At 43.0% G+C, this 18,042-nt stretch overlaps 1 protein-coding gene across 1 annotated transcript in view, besides 1 other annotated feature; it reads right to left on the bottom strand.

Moving 5' to 3' along the window:
- GALNT10 (polypeptide N-acetylgalactosaminyltransferase 10) overlaps positions 1 to 18,042 on the bottom strand; it is a 230,252-nt gene that overhangs the window by 123,522 nt on the left and 88,688 nt on the right. The window contains exon 2 of the mRNA NM_198321.4: positions 2,545 to 2,647. Within this exon, the coding sequence (NP_938080.1) occupies positions 2,545 to 2,647 (103 nt within the window). The remainder of the gene's footprint in view (positions 1 to 2,544; positions 2,648 to 18,042) is intronic.
- Positions 11,480 to 11,774: a silencer, noted in NCBI's record as "tiled region #6269; K562 Repressive non-DNase unmatched - State 23:Low". NCBI's record gives its function as "represses a minimal TATA promoter and a strong SV40 promoter by Sharpr-MPRA in K562 cells {active_cell/tissue: K562}" and the evidence as "EXISTENCE:reporter gene assay evidence [ECO:0000049][PMID:27701403]".

Here is an 18,042-nt window from a genome sequence, read left to right as displayed (position 1 = left end):
GAGTTGCCTATTTGAAAGCTTTTTGTAAACTACAAAACACCTCATAAACACGAGGAAAGATGATTACTGTAGATAAGGCAAACTTTATAAGTAAATCAAAATTGCCATAAATGATGAAAGATGCTTTGATTTTATTTTTGTTTTTAGGGCAGCAAACAAATTAAGATCTGCCTACTCTAAACCAGGAGTGCCTGAAAAGTGTGGCTTTGAGTCATGGATTTGGGTGGGTTAAAGTGCTAGCTTTCCTTTCTCTGCACAACCCATCTGGAGAAGGAGTGTGATACTCCAGGAAATTTTTCTCTAGGTTCCCAGGTGCATATGGTAAGTGGGAATGTCCACATCGACCCCTGCAATAGTAGCTTAAGAATCTGTCATTGGTGAGGATCTTGAAGAAATGGCAATAAAATCAACGGGTTAAAAATCATCTTGCCTTCTGGAGCTTGTGGACTGAGCAACACCTATTTACTCTGCAAAGTAAACATTGACAAAGTCAGATTTCCAGGAAGGTGCAAGCTGAGACGTGGAGCCCAAGGGCTCTGACTACTCCAATCCAGTCAGGCAAGAAACAGGTCTCTGTCATCTGCAGCTTGTAATGCTTCATAAGACATCATGGATTAGACCCCAGGACAGATAACATGAGGGACCCAAACACAGTAAGCAGGAGACCAGAAGTGTTTGCTCAGGGAGGGAAGCTTCAGAAGGGCAGTACAGGAGACCAATGCAGAGTTCAGGCCCTGGAGCCAGATGGAGTGGAGTTCCAAGGCCAGCCCTACCATCCCCAGCTATGTCATCTTGGACATGCCTTCAGCCTTTCCGAGTCTGAAGATTTTGCCCTTTGTATTAATTAGAATGAGAAGGTTCAATGTGAATGATGTGATGATTAAGGAGGTAATGCAGGCAAGATGCCTGGCACATAGTTAGCGTTCGACAGATGCAGGTTATTATTATTATTAATGTCTCCACTGCTCGTTACTCTTGTCTTGCTGGTTAGCCCAGTGTTAATAATTCTAGTATGTCTGGCAAATCAGCTCTTCCCAAATGTTTTCTTTCTTAATTTAAGCAGCACCGGCTGGGCATGGTGGCTCATACCTGTAATCCCAGCACTTTGGAAGGCCGAGGTGGGCAGATCACCTGAGGCCAGGAGTTCGAGACCAGCCTGGCCAACATAGCGAAACCCCAACTCCACTAAAAATACAAAAATTACAAAAATTAGCCTGGTGTGGTGGCACAGGTCTGTAATCCCAGCTACTTGGGAGGCTGAGGCAGGAGAATCATTTGAACCTGGGAGGTAGAGGTTGCATTAAGCAAAGATTGCACCACTGAATTCCAGCTTGGGTGACAGAGTGAGACTCCATCTGAAAACAAAACAAAACAAAACAAACAAACAAAAAAAGAGCAGCACCCATTCCCCCTTCTCATTTTCTGGCATCTCCAGATTTCTCTTATCATCAGTTAAGTTATTGCACCAGCTCTATTCAGAGCCTTGTGGTAAGCTGGTTTTGTCATAATGTAACTTTAAAAAATCAATAGTGGTGGGAGGCTTTAATGGAGATAAAAATGAATAAAATATTAATACCAATCCCTTAGATTTCTACAGTGCTTTCTAGTATTGCAAAGCTACTACATACTCATTGCTTTATTTGGCACCCTCACAATAACATCCTGAGGTTGTCAAAGCAGGAAGCATGAGGCATGAGTCCCACAGACAGATGGAAAAACTGAGGCTCTGGGAGTATGGACTTTATCTATTGATTAGATGGCTGTAAGTGGCATCAGAGCTGCTCTCCTGACTCCTTAGTCCAGGCTCCCTAGAGTTGATTCTCCATATAATTTCTGTACCACCTTACCCCAACCCTTCCCAACTCACCAGTGTAAACGGAACTGCTCCCAAGACTAATTAGCCAAAGAAAACTTTAGCTGAAGCCCTCTAAGTTGACTCAGTCTCATGGCTGCAGTGTTAGGTAGGAATCAACTCTGCCCTCCCTCCAGACCTGGGTTCAAATTCCAAGTTTGCCTCTCTTTCTGTGCAACAGTGGGCAGATTACCACCCCTCTTAGCGCCACAGGCCCCTTCTTATTAAATGGGCCATAAAGGTTGATCTGAGGTTTCACAGAGGAAATTTCCAAGTACAGAGCATCGATCTTCCTCACCATAGGTGTTCAATAAATGCTGGCTCTTATTACTGCTCCTTGTTTTAGTTGTAATCTCATAAGGGAGAGACATTTCTATCCTATAAAAATAAAATACAAAATATCCTTTATGAGGGAGACATTTTCTATCACCCAATAAAGGTGGCAGGCAAATTCTTGCAGGCAGCAGATCTGGTGATGGCAGTGGAGAAAGGGGTCAGCTAACTGGTGAAGAGGGGCATCTGGGAATCAGGGGAAGGGATGGTGGCTGACAGGGAGGGAGCCAACAGGAGGTCCAGACACCCCTGCTAAACACACACATGAACACACACACACACACACACACACACACACACAAGCATATGTGCATATGCCCTTCACAGAGCCCACCCATGGCCAATCCTGCCCTCCGTACCTACGCGCTGAGCGTCCCTCCGGATGGCCTCCTTGTCATGCCAGTCCTTCAGCTTCTGCCCATCTCCCAAGAAAAACGTTTTCTTTTGTCGACTGTGTGAGCCCTTAAAAAAAGACAAAAACTATGAAAAATAGAAAAGGGCAAATCAGTAACACAGGCCCAGGAGTTACACTGCCTAAGGGAGCTTTGTATTGACCAAATGCCTGTCATCCTGGGTTCCTTTATCCACTCCCTCAGCATACCTTTGTTGGTGCCTTGCCATGTGCCAGCTAGGTTTGCAAAGGTCAGCAAGATGTCAAGAATGCAGCGTCTACCTTTCAGGAACTCACAAATCGGTGGTGGAGAAAAAAGATGAACACACTCTTTTCACCCAAGGGAGAAAGTGTGCAGTGTGGTGCTACCCAACAGAAATATAACGTGAGCCACATGTGTAACCTGAAATTTTCCAGTATCCACATTTAAAAAAGTAGGTGAAGTTGTTTTAATAATGTACTCTACCTAAACTATTACCACTTCAACATGCAATCAATGTAATACACTGATTAAGGTATTTTACATTCTTTTTTTTAGGGAGATGGGGAGTGGGAGACAAGGTCTCACTCTGTTGGCCAGGCTAGAGTACAGTGGCACTACGATGGCTCACTGCAGCCTCGAACTCCAGGGCTCAAATGATTCTCCATCCTCAACCTCTGAGTAGCTGGGACTACAGGTACGTGCTACCATACCAGGAAATTATTTATTGTAGTGATAGGGGTCACCCTATGTTACCCAGGTTGGTCTTGAACTCCTGGGCTCAAGCTGTACTCCCACCTCAGCCTCCCAAAATGCTGGGATTACAGGCATGAGCCACCATGTCCAACCTACATTCTTTTTTTTGTACTGCCTTTGAAATCCAGTGTGTATTTTACACTTGTGTTCATCCTGATTCAGACCCATTTCAAATGCTCAACAGTTGCATGTGGCTTGGATAGGGCAGGGGCTCAGAGAATGCACTACATGAGTTCAGTTCCACTGGGGAGAAATGGAGAATGTTTCATGGACCTGAGTGCATTTGGGCTGGGCCTCAGACAGGTCGACAGGAGAGGCAGGCAAGACAAACATCCTGGGCACTGACTTGTGATGTTTGGGTAAAGAACGGCAAAGCTGTGTGTGGCCCAAGGAGAAGGAGTGCCGCAAGCAAAAGCAGATGGCAGGTCTTGGACATCTGTATGGTCTTGAGGGCCCAGACCCAAAGAGAATAAACATGTGGCAAATGGGCATGGAATGTATGAAGAAGCAATTGAATGGCTGAAAGGAAAAAAAAAATATATATATATATATATATCAGCCCCAAGAGAGCAGCCCCCAGGGGCTGGGCTTTGGCAGCATTTATCATTTACCTGGGGAGGTGAGCCCACCCTCATGCGCCCATTAGGAAGCAGTTTCCCTAATTAAAGGAGGCTGCATTCCAGTGACTGGGGTCAGCAGAAGGAACCTGATACTTTCTCAAGCCAACAGTCAAGTCAAAGGCCTCCAGGCCCAGAGCCTTCCCCAGGTAATGCTGCACCACACAGCTACTTACATATCTTCCATGTTCATGTAAATACTTTCTGAAACACCTTGCCCATTACAAATCTTGCAGACTTGTTCTTGCCACTGTGGCAGGCAGAATCCAATAGTGCTATTTCCTATATAATTAACTTCAAAGGCCCTGATGTGTGGTGTGCTGGACATTAGTGCTAACAAGAAGCCCCCTGAATAAAATCGTCCCTGCGCTTGTTTATTAAGCCTCTGGCTGATCCCTGTGTTAGCAGGTTTTCCACAATGGCTCAACATCTTTATAACAGCTCTAGTAATAATAACAATCCTTTGTATTCTTTCTCCTATAGACCTCTCTGAATTGCAAGAAGATAATTCTGAAAGTTGGTGTGCTAGATGTCTTGGTTAGAGAGGGGAAAAAAAAACTACAAAAACTAAGGCGGCATGCTTTCAACAGTTCTCAGCATTCTTAGAAATCACAGAAGCTGAGCTGGAAGGTCCTTATGGAACCATCTAATCAGTTCAGGATACAGTTCTACAGGAGGGGACCCCGGCACTGCCTTGGGAAGAGGAAGGCAGAGAGTAGGGGCTTGCTCTGCCTGCTCTTCAATCAGAGCAACAACACATCTGTTTTATGTACTGGGGTTCCATGTGGGATTTCATTTGAAGACAGCTCTTCTGCTAAAAATAAATAGATATCAAATTTCCTACACAAGCAAACAAATATATCTGGAAGCTGAGCTAGGACCACTTCCCTATACCACAGACAGAGAAACCAAGCCTTGGGGTAGGCCAGGAACCTGCCCAAGGTAATATTCTGCTTCTGTGATGTCAAGGTTGATCAGTTAGGGGCTAGTTAGCTCTCCTTTCTCCAGCCCTCCCTCCCAATCTCTTTTTCCTCTTCTGCTGCCCACAGATTGGAAACTTTGGTTGATTACTTCAGCCCTGGTGGGACTAGAGGCTCTGCAAACTGAGGATCTTTTAATGGAAGGCACAAAACTAAAGCCATGGTGTTCAAAGTGTTGTATCTGAAGAGGACAGGATGGGTGCCACCTGGGAACTTGCCAGAAATGCAAATTCCCAGGGTCTTACCCTAGACCTCTAGAAGCAGAAGCTCTGGGGATGGGGCCCAGCAATCCGTGTTTTAGCAAGCTCTCGAAGAGATTCTGATACACGCTGAGGTTTGAGAACTGCTGGTCTACAATGAAGCAGATGATAATCCTACCTGATCTGTGTTGTCACATCAAGTTGAGCAGATAATTATCATAGAAGGCTGCAAAACCCTGAGGCCCGTGGGCCAAATGTGGTCACTGGCAAACAACCTGGTGGCTTTCAAGGTGCTTTTCGTTTTGGTTTGGTTTTCTTAATTCTAGTGTGAAAATGGGGAGATTTCATATTGTTTTATCAAGATTTTTGGCTTCTCTTGAAAACCTAAAAGACATGCCAGTACTGGGCTGACTTCCCTCAGCTCATCAGCTGGGCTGTGTGGATGGGGCACGTCTCCCCAGTTTGCCACAGTCCCTACCATTCCTTATTGCATTTCACCTGCCTCCCATATCTCATTTTTGTTACCTGCCTGGCCCTGGTGAGCTTGAAACATGCTGGGATATTCAGGAATGTATCCTGGTTGGGAAAGATTAGAAACTATGAGGACTAGGAGATAAGAAGCCCTGGAGGACATGGGAGAAGTTATTTTGTTCCATGAAGTCCTAAGGCTACACTAAGGGCCAATGGTAGATGTTACTGAATGATTGAGGGGCCTCAGACAGAGAAGAAATTCCAAAAGTTGGGTCGCTGCTAGGATGAAATAAAACCATTTGGAAGAAGATATTAGAAGTGGCCAGGAATAGAAAGATTGAGTGTTCATCAGGATGTGAAGGAGAAGAATCAAGTGCAGGGTTGGGACTAGTGCTTCTCAAATTTTAATGTGCAGGAGAATCATGCATGGATCTTGTTAATGCTGATTCTGGCACAGTAGGTCTAGGGCGGGGCCTGAGATTCTGCATTTCTAACAAGAACCCAGGTGATGCTGACGCTGCTGGGCCAAAAAAGACACTTTGAGTAGCAAGGGTTAGGCAACCTTTAAAGGGCCCTTCAAGAGTCTAAGATTCCATGAAGGATACTATTTCCTCTACAAGCTTGTGAAAGTCTTCCAGTGCTACTGGGAATGGGGTACAGGGATAAATCTCACTGTTTTGACCTCACAGAAGTAAACCCCTAGAATCATGTTCTCAAAATGAAACACTGGATTGCTGAACTGATGGCATTGAGAATTAAGGCTCCAAAATCCTGGGAGTTTCATACCTAACTCCACTGCCTTTGCCTTATGATGCACACTGCTCCCTCTATCCCTCCCTCCCAGGGTCTGCAGAGATGAACTATGCTGTTTTAGGTCTCATTGGTCCTTATACCTTCCCTAAACCAGGAGGACTTTGGAGCCTGCTGACACAGGGAGTTCTACATGTCTAAGCACGCAGCTGCTAGAGTCCTCAGCCATCTGAGCTAAATAGCTGCTCAGAGACAATTAGTACACCTCCGCTCATCTTACAGATAAAGGAACTGAAGTCCAAACAAGCCAAGCTACCCAACCAAGGCCTCACAGCAGGCAAGAGGATAAAAACCATGTCCTTTGACTCCCAGGTTAGTTTTTAGTGGGAAAGAACCCTTGAGTGTGACCTTGCATGAGCTACAGGAGTCACAGGTACCTCAATTTTCCCACCTGGAAAATGGAGACAGCACTACCTGCCCAAAGGTACTTTCAGATGAACGGAGACAATCACAAACAGTATAGCCTGAGCGCTCTCCTAATTTACACATGGATTGAGGACACTGACTCCTTTAGGATTTTAAGAATCTACTGTAAATTGACATCTCACCAAATCATGTAGATATAAAACTCAAATTTTATTGTATAGGTTAAAAAGTATCCCAGTTATAGGTCTGGGCCTTCAGTAGGGTGGAAAACTAGTTTCAGTCTTAAAATTATAGAGTTGGTCAGGTGTGGTGGCTTACGCCTGTAATCCCAATACTTTGGAAGGCTGAGGTGGGCGGATCACTTGAGGTCAGTTTGAGACCAGCCTGGCCAACATGGTGAAACCGTGTCTCTACTAAAAATACAAAAAAAAAAAAAAAAAAAAAAAAATTAGCTGAGTGTCATGGCACACACCTATAATCCCAGCTATTTGGGAGGCTGAGGCAGTAGAATCACTTGAACTCAGGAAGCAGAGGTTGTGGTGAGCCGCGATTGTGCAACTGCACTCCAGCCTGGGCAACAGAGTGAGACTCCGTCTCAAAAAAAAAAAAAAAAAATTACAGAGTACATGGAGCCTGAAGGGCCCTAAGAATCCTATCCAAAAACCTTAATGGAAATTGTGGTCAATTTCAGGTGGTTTAGGAGCCTCTGAGGACAATCCATGGAATTTCTAGAGATAGTGCAGATTAAGAAACCCCAGATCATCTAAACTATCACCAAATGTTTACTGACACCTACTCTGTACAAAGCAGTGTGTCAGGCACCAGGGATTCAGGTTTGACAGCACAGATACTGTGTAGGCCTAATGAGGTTTACAGAAAGATCAGTCTCTTTCAAAAGGTGGTTCTTGGAGAACCTGGGCCCTTATTATAGATGCAAATTCCTGGACTCACACCCTGAACCTACTAAGTAAAAATGTCTACAGATAGGAGCCCAGGAAGATACCTTTTTTAGAAAACACATTCTCCATGTGATTCTAATTCACAATAAAGTTGGAAGACCTTTGGTCTAAATCTAGCTGCCTCATTTTACAGATACGAAATCTGAGGCTAACAGAGTAGAATGGACTTGCCCTAAATCCTACAGCTTGTCAGCCCCAAGGACCAAACCAGAGCTTGCAGTTCTCTCCCTGGAATAGACTGTAAGCTTCTTGAAGGCAGGGGCATTACACCACTGCACTTTCCTAGGCCAATACCTGACTAATCTTAGGCCCTTGAAAAATACCAGCTGAATGAATGAATGAATGCTCATCAATGGGAAAGGTAGTCTAGTTTAATGACTTGGAACATTCTGGTTCCAGAGTTAGGAAAACCTAGGTTTTACTTCCTGGGCAGGTGGAGCCCAATTTCCCTGACTGATAAATAGAGAAAACTAACAGAATAAGAGTATCTGTTGGGAGGATTAACTGAGCTAATCCGGGACAAAGTGTCCCAGTGTCTGGGACAAAGTTAGGTCCTCTCCTAGTAAAGGTGAGCAACTATGAATACATTATTTTTAGGGAAAGTTTATGAAAACACGGTATGTTCCAGTGTTTGTGATAACCATGTTTGGAGGAATAGGAGAGCGAACAGGAAACTAATAAGGAAAACTGTGGGTCCTGCAGAGGCAACCTATCTACCACCTGATTCAATTCAACTGGCTCTTGCTGATAACAGGATTTAGAATTTCCTCATTAACAGGATGTCATATGCCCACATCGAAACACAGTGTTCTTCAAGGAAAGAAAAAAGTCTTAGTTAATAGTGGCATTCTACAATAGAAACAAATGCCACAAGACCATTAACAACAGAAAAGGCAGGAACATTGCTTCTCAAAAGACAGCAATTATGCAATAGCAATCACTTAATATTATGTAAAAGATCACGTCTGGATTTTTCAATCCAGAGGTAATTTTAAGTTTCTTTAATTCTGTAAGCTCAAAGATTTGTCTACAAAAGCTGTAATTATTTTCCTTCAACAACCATCTTTTGCTACTTTGCTTTCTCTTGGTTTCCAGATGTCCTTCTGCTACAGGAAGCAAAGGGGTTAGGAAGGAACATGGCAAGAAGTGAGGGAGAGTGTGTGGAGGAGACTGGCAGAATCAATGTGGAAATCACATTAAATAATAAATTGGCAATGGATTTTGACTGGCTGCTCTAAATAACTGCTTCTGGTATCTGCATGCTTTTACTTAACATTCCACTAAAAGAATCGATTAGTGTTCAAACACACACACACACACACACACACACACACACACAAATGGAATTTTAATCTTTGTTTAATCACTATTTAGCAGGCCTGGCAGCCTTTGGAGGTAGGAAAGAATGGTGGTGAAGCAAGCCAACTACATTCTGCTCAAGAAGGAAGATTTGTTAAAGTGCATACTCTAATCCCAAGACTGCAGACTTGGCAAAGAGCATCTCTGGCTGAGCTGGCTAGTGTCTTCAAAACAAGGAAAGGGCTGTATGCGCTCAAACAGCAATGTTGGAAGGAAAGCTGAGCAGGTCATCTGCTTCATCCACAGTCTGAGGCTGTGTTAGAGACCAGGCTCTGCTGCAAATTTTAGGATGGCTCCCCTCCACCTTCCTCTCAAAGAACCCTACAAAGGCAATGAAATGATTTTGCTTTGAGGTTTAAATAACTATATCATTTCAAACATCTGTTTATCTACCAAGTAGATTAATAAACTTCTCTCTCTCTCTCTCTCACACACACACACATGCACACACATGCACACTCTCTCTCTCTCTCTCACACACACACACACACACACACAGCAAAGCAATTTCTTCAAGATTACCTTCAAAGAGGACCAGGTAGGGCTTAATTTAGCTCAAAGCATATAAAGTTTAAACAAGGGAGTTTGGACAATTAGATAAATGTACTTTCTTCATGAGTTTTGAGGACATAAGCTGGATTGTTTTTATTAATTCATTCATCCAAACAATGATTATTGAGGGCCTACTATGGCCAAAGACCTCTGGGAGAGACAAAGATGAACAAGGTAGTCCATGGCCTCCACAAACAGCTATGAGACAAGTATTTAAGGAAGGAAAACACACATACACACATACAAGCCTATAACATAGTGCCTTGAAAGCTGTACAGATAAATTCGATAGATATTTACAAAAGCCAAAAATTAAATTCTACCTGGGACGATCGGGGAAGAATTCCTGCAGAAGCAGAGTCTTTGACAGGAACCTGAGAGAAGGGGTAGGATTTTAACTGGTAGCAGTTGAGGGGTGGGGGTTGGGGGTGGAATCCAGCTAGAGGGAAAGTATGTGGAAAGAATGCGAGTTAGAAAGTGAAGGGCATATTTACTTAAGGGCAAGGAGCCTGATTTGGCTGGAGTGAGCAGGATGCAAAAGTGAGTCACGAGCAATAAGACCAGGAAGGAAGTCTGGACCAGAATTGGAGGGCCTTACATTTGAGCTGCTTGGCAGGTGGGCAGCCACAGTAAGCCTTTGAGCAAGGAACAGGCTGAAGTAGAACTCCAAGAATAAAATACGTTACTACCTTTCCACTTTCAATTAATCTCAGAATCCTCCTCCTCCCATGAGAAATGCAAGGAGAAAGATGATTTTGTTTTCATTCAGAGAAAATGTCCCCTTTTCATAGGCTGAGGATCATTCATTCTGGTACCCCACAGTCAGACTTAAGTGAGGCTGACCTAACCCTAGCACCTATTCAGTAGGCTGCTGTTTTGAGAAAACTTAACTTTCACTATAACCAGGACCAAGCTGTATGAGAAAACAATCAAACCTGAATGGCACTATTTATGAATGGAAGGAGGCATTACAACCCAGCAACCACGAGTCTATGTCTGCTGGGCCCACGTCAGGCAAGTCCTGCTGTTCCAATCAGCAATGGGGCTGTGTCTGTTGTCCCCACTCCAGTAACTCCATTGTCTCAACACCAGGATGCTGAAATCTGAAATCTGGCCCTTCTCTAAGAGGGGAAGGTCACTCACAGATAGGAGCCATTGTTTCAAAGGGCTGATCCTGTGTTTCCAAGGGCAGAACCATATCAACCCTCCAATTCCTTTGTTTGGTGTAGGTGGCTCTAGAAAAGGTCATTTGCTACGTAAGGCATGAAAGCTCATTAAAAGATTTTTTAAACAGCAGGGAGAAAAAAAAGCCAAGATACTTTGGAATGTCTGTTATCTAAAGGGCAAATAGAACCTTCAGTAGCTTTTCCCTTCCATTCTAAAAGAACAATTTCAACACTTTCTTCAGGATAAGTGCCCAAATGTTTTATCACTGGGAAAAAAAAAAAAAAACAAATCGACTCTGATCAATAATTTGATAATGTTCATCTGAGTCTCTTACCTATCAATCCATCTGTCCATCTGTCTGTCTGTCCATCTGTCCATCAACTTAAGTGTATGATGAACACAAGCACAAATCAAGCCTTGTGCTAGGTGCTGAGGATATACTGGTGAGGAAGACGGACGGGGTCCTACTCTCATAGAGCTTATAGAAGTATGTGTGGTGGTGGGGAAATGTAGACTTTCATCCGAAACTACAGGTAAATTAAAAAAGCTACAGTGGCAGGCCATAAAAGAGGGGTACATGGTACAAAGATAGTCCCTTTCTTTCAGATCAGACTGGGGGGATCTGATCCAGCCTGCAAGGTTTTCTTGAGAAAATTGGATTACAGGTTAACTCAGTAGAAAGAGGAGTACACAGCATTCCAGACAGAGGGAAAAGTAAAGATATGCAAAGATTCTGTGGCTGAGCAAACATGAATCATAGGAGGGCCTGGAAGAGCAGTGTGTGTGGTGCACAGAGAAGCAGGGAAAGTCTGGTAGGAATGAGAGGTGGACAGGGGTGAGGATTCTGTCTTTCCTCCAGGAGCATTTAGAAATACAAGTGTTTTCTATAAGGAGGTGATAAGATCAGGTTGCATTTGGAAAGCTCTCTTGTAGCCAAGTGGAAAAGGGATTAGGAGGCCAAGAGGAGGGGTGGAGGCTGGGAAGGAGGCTATCACAGTGGTGCAGGCAGAGATGATGTTAGCTTATGCTGGGAAGGCAGAAGTAGGGGTGGGCACACACAGATTTTTTTTAAAAATAGGGTTACTAGGGTCCTGTGGGTTTGAGTCAAGAAATAGAGCCTGAGAACTTGGACAGTCAGGTGAGAAGTTCATCTGTAAGAGCTGGATATCAATAGTCCCACAGATGCAGGTGAAACCCACCTGGGACCTGAGCCCAGCTCTCCCCTCACCTAGCCTGGTGTCTGTGTCATCACATGTTACTTTTAAGTTTCAATACTGTCCATAGAAAGCAAGTCAGGAGATCAGACCTAATGAGATAGGATTTTATGTCTATTTCACCTTCAAGAATTCAGTGACACATAGTCAAGAAAGAAGAGAGAAATCCTACAAGGGTGGTGGTGAGCCTCCCGTGCTCATGCAGAGTGTGCCTTTGCCCTCACAGTGTCCCTGGAGGCCCCAGTTCTCTCTGGCCCCTGGAAGTGTGAGCGCTCTGTGCTGGGGGAGCCTACTCTAGGAAGATAAGTATTTTCATTACCTCAGAAGGCACTGTGATTACTTCAACCAAAGAAACAGTTATCACTGGTGTTCAAGCTGGATTTAAAACTGCCCACACTGGACTTTTGAGAGGTGGTGTGTCTTCATATTCCATGAGCGATTGTCAAGGGTGATTCTGATTTTGTGTTATTTTCACCTTAAGTGGTGGGTTTATTATAGCCTAACTCTTTCATGAGATTAGACTTGACTATATTATTATCGTCATTATATCCACTTTGTAGATGACAAAACTGAGGCTTGGAGAGAAAATCGATATGAAAGCGTTTTGCAAACTGCCAACCACCACATGAGTGTAATCATCACAGCTAATAGCACCTACCACATGTACCTGCCCATTCCTTCCCAAACTCAGTATCTAGAAAGGCTGCAGGAACATAGCCCTCAAATATGGAAAACGTGCTGAGATGAATCATACTTCTGTACCAAGAGGGCAATTCACAAGAGGTTTTGAAAATCTCAGTCTAGCTGATGTGTGATCAATCACAGGAAAGCCCCTAGAAAGTGCTCTTCTTAGAGGCTTGACGGGCTGGGCAGGAGCAAGGGCTGCAATATTGCTCTGCACAGCAGCTGTGGATGGGTAAAAAGAAAAAAAGGAACTGGAAAGCTCATCAGAAGGCAAGTTCCTACTTTTCAGAGAGAGACTAAAAAATGACTGCAAACACATCCTATTAATCTCCTAGCTGGGTAAGTAGGGTTGAGCCACGCAGTAATAAAGTACTTGCTCTAATAATAGTAATAATTATAATCATAATCCCCTACATTCTGAAGACAGCAGACCAAAGTGAAGAAGACCATCTGCTTTGGCATCAGAAATGCCTAGGCTTGTGCCACAGTTCTGTTTATTAGCTCTGTGATCTTGGGCAAGTTACGCTATTTTCACAAGCCTTGGTTTCCCAACTGTAAAATGGGGGAAATTAATAGTACCTAGCATAAAGGTTATTATGAGGATTAAATGAGATGCAGCAAGTATAGCTCTTAGCAGTGTTTGGTATCTAGAAAGCACTAGCAATGCTAGCTACCATTATTAGTTACTATTTGGTAGTATTTTATAATTTACAAAGCATTTTTATATTTATGTCCCATTCCTTCCTCTCAGTTGCACCAGGGTAAAAGCAGACATCACCAACCTATTGTAATATCCTTCCTTGTGGATCCCAGACTTTGAGAATCTTTCTCAACACTGTGCTCCAAGCAGCGCTTACCCATCAGCTGGCATTGGTCAGGGGACAGGACCCATCTGCCACAGCTGCCTTAAGCTGGAAGAGTGAATTTCCAAGTACACCTGGTAGACAATGACCCACTGGTTGATTTCCACAATCTTGGCTCTTTGGGCTGGCTGGCTGCTCACTGCTTGCAAAGGTCCCCCAAGAGGGGGAGAGGGGTAGGGGCATGGGGAAGCAACATGTGACTGATGGTAGTCCCCTCCTCTTTGGACTCCTTCCTGGCCCAGGAGGAAAGTCTCTGCCTGGACAATGATGTTGGCCTCCTCCATCTCCCATCTTGGAAACTGAGAACTCTCTGAACTCTTCTTCTTTGTTTCTCTTAGGGTGGAGGCCACAAAAGGCTCTGAATCTCCTGGGCAGCACCCAGCCCCTTACCTATCCCACCTCACTCTCACTCTGTCACTCTGGTATTCTTGTTTTTATTTATTTATTTTTTTTAAGAGATAGGATCTTGCTCTGCTGCCCAGGCTGGCTTGCAGTAGCATGATGATAGCTCACTGCAGCTCCAGCCTTGACCTCCTGGGCTCAAGCAATCCTCCTGCCTCAGCCTCCCAAGAAACTAAGACTACAGGTACATGCACCACCACACCTGGCTTTTTTTTTTTTTTTTTTTTTTACAGACGAGGTCTTATTATGTTGCCCAGGTTGGTCTCAACCTCCTGGCCTTAGGTGATCGTCCCACCTGGGACTCCCAAAGTGCTGAGATTACAGGCGTGAGCCATCATGCCCAGCCTCTCTTGTTCTTATATAACGATTTCTTAGATATATGGTGTCCCAGGCAGGATGTGTGAGGTGCAACCACAAGAGAGCACAAAGGACAGTCTTCCCAGACCACAGCAAACTGCTATGAATGCAGATGCTCCCACAGGAATCATCTAAACCCTCAGGCAAGCTTCCCTAACCCCTCTGGCTAGATCACTGCCCCTGATATGGGACCTTACAGCATCCTCACTGCTCCTTTGTGACTTCACATTCATTTGGATGATCATTTGAATATTGTCTATCTCTCCCCAAATTGTGAGCTCTATGAGAAGACATCAATTTCTGTTGAATGAATGAATAATGAATGAATGAGTGGAGACATCTTTTATCTTTTCCAGATGAAGGAAAGGTCACTCAAGGATTAGACATGTCTAATATAGTCCAAAGATTTAATACCATAAAAGGGTTCTGAGGATTGACTTTATCCTATGACTAAATGGCTTCAGGTCAACTTAATGGGCTACAAAGCTCAAAAGAGAGCTGGCTCACCTGATCCTAAAATAATTTTTAAAAAGATGCAACAGGCTTTGAACTCTTCCACCTTCTTCCTTCTTTCATTTTCAAATGGTTTCCTTTCTGGATTCCTAACTAAGGCTTGTGGCAGAAATTGCTGTATATCCCCTAGGAGCTGTTCTTTTCTTCCACAGTAATAAGAATTTTAGCTGGGAATATGATTGCTCAGAATAAAGATGATATTTTCCTGACATCCTTGTAGCTAGATGTGGCTTGATTGGGTTCTGTCAATGAGAGGCGAGTGGAGGAGCTGCATGGTAGCCTGCTATGGTTTGAGCATGATCCCCAAAGTTTGTGTGTTGGAAACTGAATCCCCAGTGCAACAGTATTGGGAGGTGGAACCTTTAAGATGTGATTAGCTCATGAGAGCTCTGCCCTGACGAATGGATTAATGCTGTTATGGAGAGAGTGGGTTAATTACTGTGAGAGCAGCATCCTTATAAAGGATGAATTTGGTCCCAACCATCTCTCTCACCCATGTGATGCTTTCTACCACCTTATATCGCAGCAAGAAAGCCCTCACCTGATGCTACCCTTGATCTCGGACTTCCCAGCCTCAGGAACTGTGACCAAATACGCTTCTTTTCTTTATACATTATCTAGTTTCTGGCATCTGTTATTATAGCACAAAACAGGTTACGAGCCAGCCTCATGGAACTTACCAGAAAAAACTACTAATGTGCACTTTTGCCTTTCTTGTTTATCCCTTCCTCTATCTTGCTGCCTAGAATGCAAAGGCCACCATGATGGACCACGAGGTGCCTCCATGCCCTAGGGATGGCTGAAGCCATCAGAAGGGAGTACAGGTTCTTGAGGACTTCAGGGGGCAGAACTATGATACTAGTCCTGGACTTCAAACCTTCAGACTTTGAAGTGAGAGAAAAATACACTATCTTGTTTGAACCATTCAAATATAATCGTAACCAATATAAGATTCTTCTCTTCAGGCTTGAAAGACTGAGGAACAGCTTAGCTTAGGTTAGGGTGTGGAGAGGTCCTTGAAGGAGGACCCAAAAGACACAGGCTTCAGTTTCCTGGCTGTGCATTTATGAAGAGCAGGACCTTAGGCAGGTCCCCTTGTCTTTCCAGGTCTCCATTATTTGATGGTAGAATGGGGATCAAAATAATATCTGCCCATGACATGATTATCTATAAAACAAATGCTAAGGAATCTACAAAAAAGCTAGTAGAGCTGATGAGTTTAGCAACGTCAAAAGATATAAGGTCAATATACAAAAATCAATTTTATTTCTAAATACTATCAATGAAACATCGAAAACTGATGTTAAAATACTGATTTCCATGGTGTCAAAAATATCAAATAGTCGAGATACATTTAACAAAATGTGTAAGACCTATACACTGAAAACTACAAAACACTGCTACAGAAATCAAAGATCTAAATAAATGGAGAGATATGTCATGTTTATTGGTCAGAAGACTCAATATTGTTAAAATGTGAGTCCTCTCAAAATTGATCTATCAACTCAAGTTACTCTTTATAGAAACTGATATTCAACAGACCTGGAAAAATGCCAAAATAATTCTTTTTCAAAAGAGGGGCAAAGTTGGAGGACTTACATGTCCTAATTTCAAGGCACTCCTGGGATACAGTGACCAACAGAGAGTGGCCCTAAGGTAAGGACAGATATGTGATCAATGGAGTGGACAGCTCATAACTATATGCATTCAGTTGTTTTTGAACAAAGGCACTAAGAAAATTCAATAGGTAAAGGATAACTTTTCAACAAATAGTGTCCAAACAATTAGATATTCATATGTCAAAAAAATACACCTCACACTTCCTCACACCCTACATGATATAAACTTGAAATAGATCATAGACCTAAGTGTAAGAGCCAAAACTATAAAATTTGTAGAAGAAAGTATGTGAGAAAATCTTAGTGACTTTGGTTTAGGCAAAGGTTTCTTAAAGAGGACACAAACTGCAATAAAATATGAATAAGTTGGAATTCATCACAATTGAAAACTTCGGTTGTTTAAGGGACAAGCCATGAACTGGGAGAATATATTTGCAAAACATGTATCTTTTAAAATAATATTTTTAATGGACACATAATAATTGTACATACTTATAGGGTACAAAATGATATTTTGATACCTGCATATAATGTATAATGATCAAATTAGGGTAATTAGCATATCCATCACCTCAAACCTTGATCACTTCTTTGTGTTAGGAACATTCAAAATCCTCTCTTCTAGCTATTTGAAAAAATACAATAAATTATTGTTTACTACAGTCATCCTACAGTGCTATAGAACACTAGAACTTAGTCCTATCTAAGCTGTAATTTTGTATCCATTAACCTACCTCTTCCTATCTCCTCTACCCATTCCCTTCCCAGTCTCTAGTAACCACTATTCTACTCTCTACTTCTATGAGGTCAACTATCTTAGCTCTCACGTATGAGTGAGAATATGCGATATTTGTCTTTCTGTGCCTGGTTTATTTCCCTTAACATAACTACCTCCAGTTTCATCCATGTTGCTGCAAATAACATAATTTCATTCTTTTTTATGGCTGAAAAATATTCTATTTTGTATATATACCACATTTTCTTTATCCATTTATCTGCTGATGGATACTTAGGTGGATTCCTTATCTTGCTGCAATAAACATGAGAGTACAGATGTCTCTTTGACAGGCTGATTTCCTTTTCTTTGGATATATACCCAGAAGTGGGATTGCTGGATTATATGGCAGTTCTATTTTTAGCTTTCTGAGGAACTTCCATACTGCATAAAACACGTATTTGATTAAGGACATATTCAGAATGCATAAAGAACTCATACCAGCCTGGGCAACACAGTGAGACCCCATCTCTATAAAAACAAAATAAAAAAAAAATTTGTCAGGTGTGGTGGCACATTCCTATAGTCCCAGCTACTTGGGAGGATGAGATGGGAGGATTGCTTGAGCCTAGGAGTTTGAGGCTGCAGTGAGTCAAGTACACAATGTCACTACAGGGAAAGGCAAATCAAAACTACCATTAAGCCAGGTGCGGAGGCTCATGCCTGTAATACTAGCACTTTGGGAGGCCGAGGCAGGTGGATCACCTGAGGTCAGGAGTTCGAGACCAGCCTGGCCAACATGGTGAAACCCCGTCTCTACTAAAAATACAAAATTAGCTGGGTGTGGTGGTGCATGCCTGTACTCCCAGCTACTTGGGAGGCT

Source organism: Homo sapiens, chromosome 5 (genome assembly GCF_000001405.40).
Source record: "Homo sapiens chromosome 5, GRCh38.p14 Primary Assembly".
NCBI lineage: Eukaryota > Metazoa > Chordata > Mammalia > Primates > Hominidae > Homo > Homo sapiens.
Note: the sequence above shows the minus strand (reverse complement) of the source record. Positions and strands in the feature narration are given on the sequence as shown.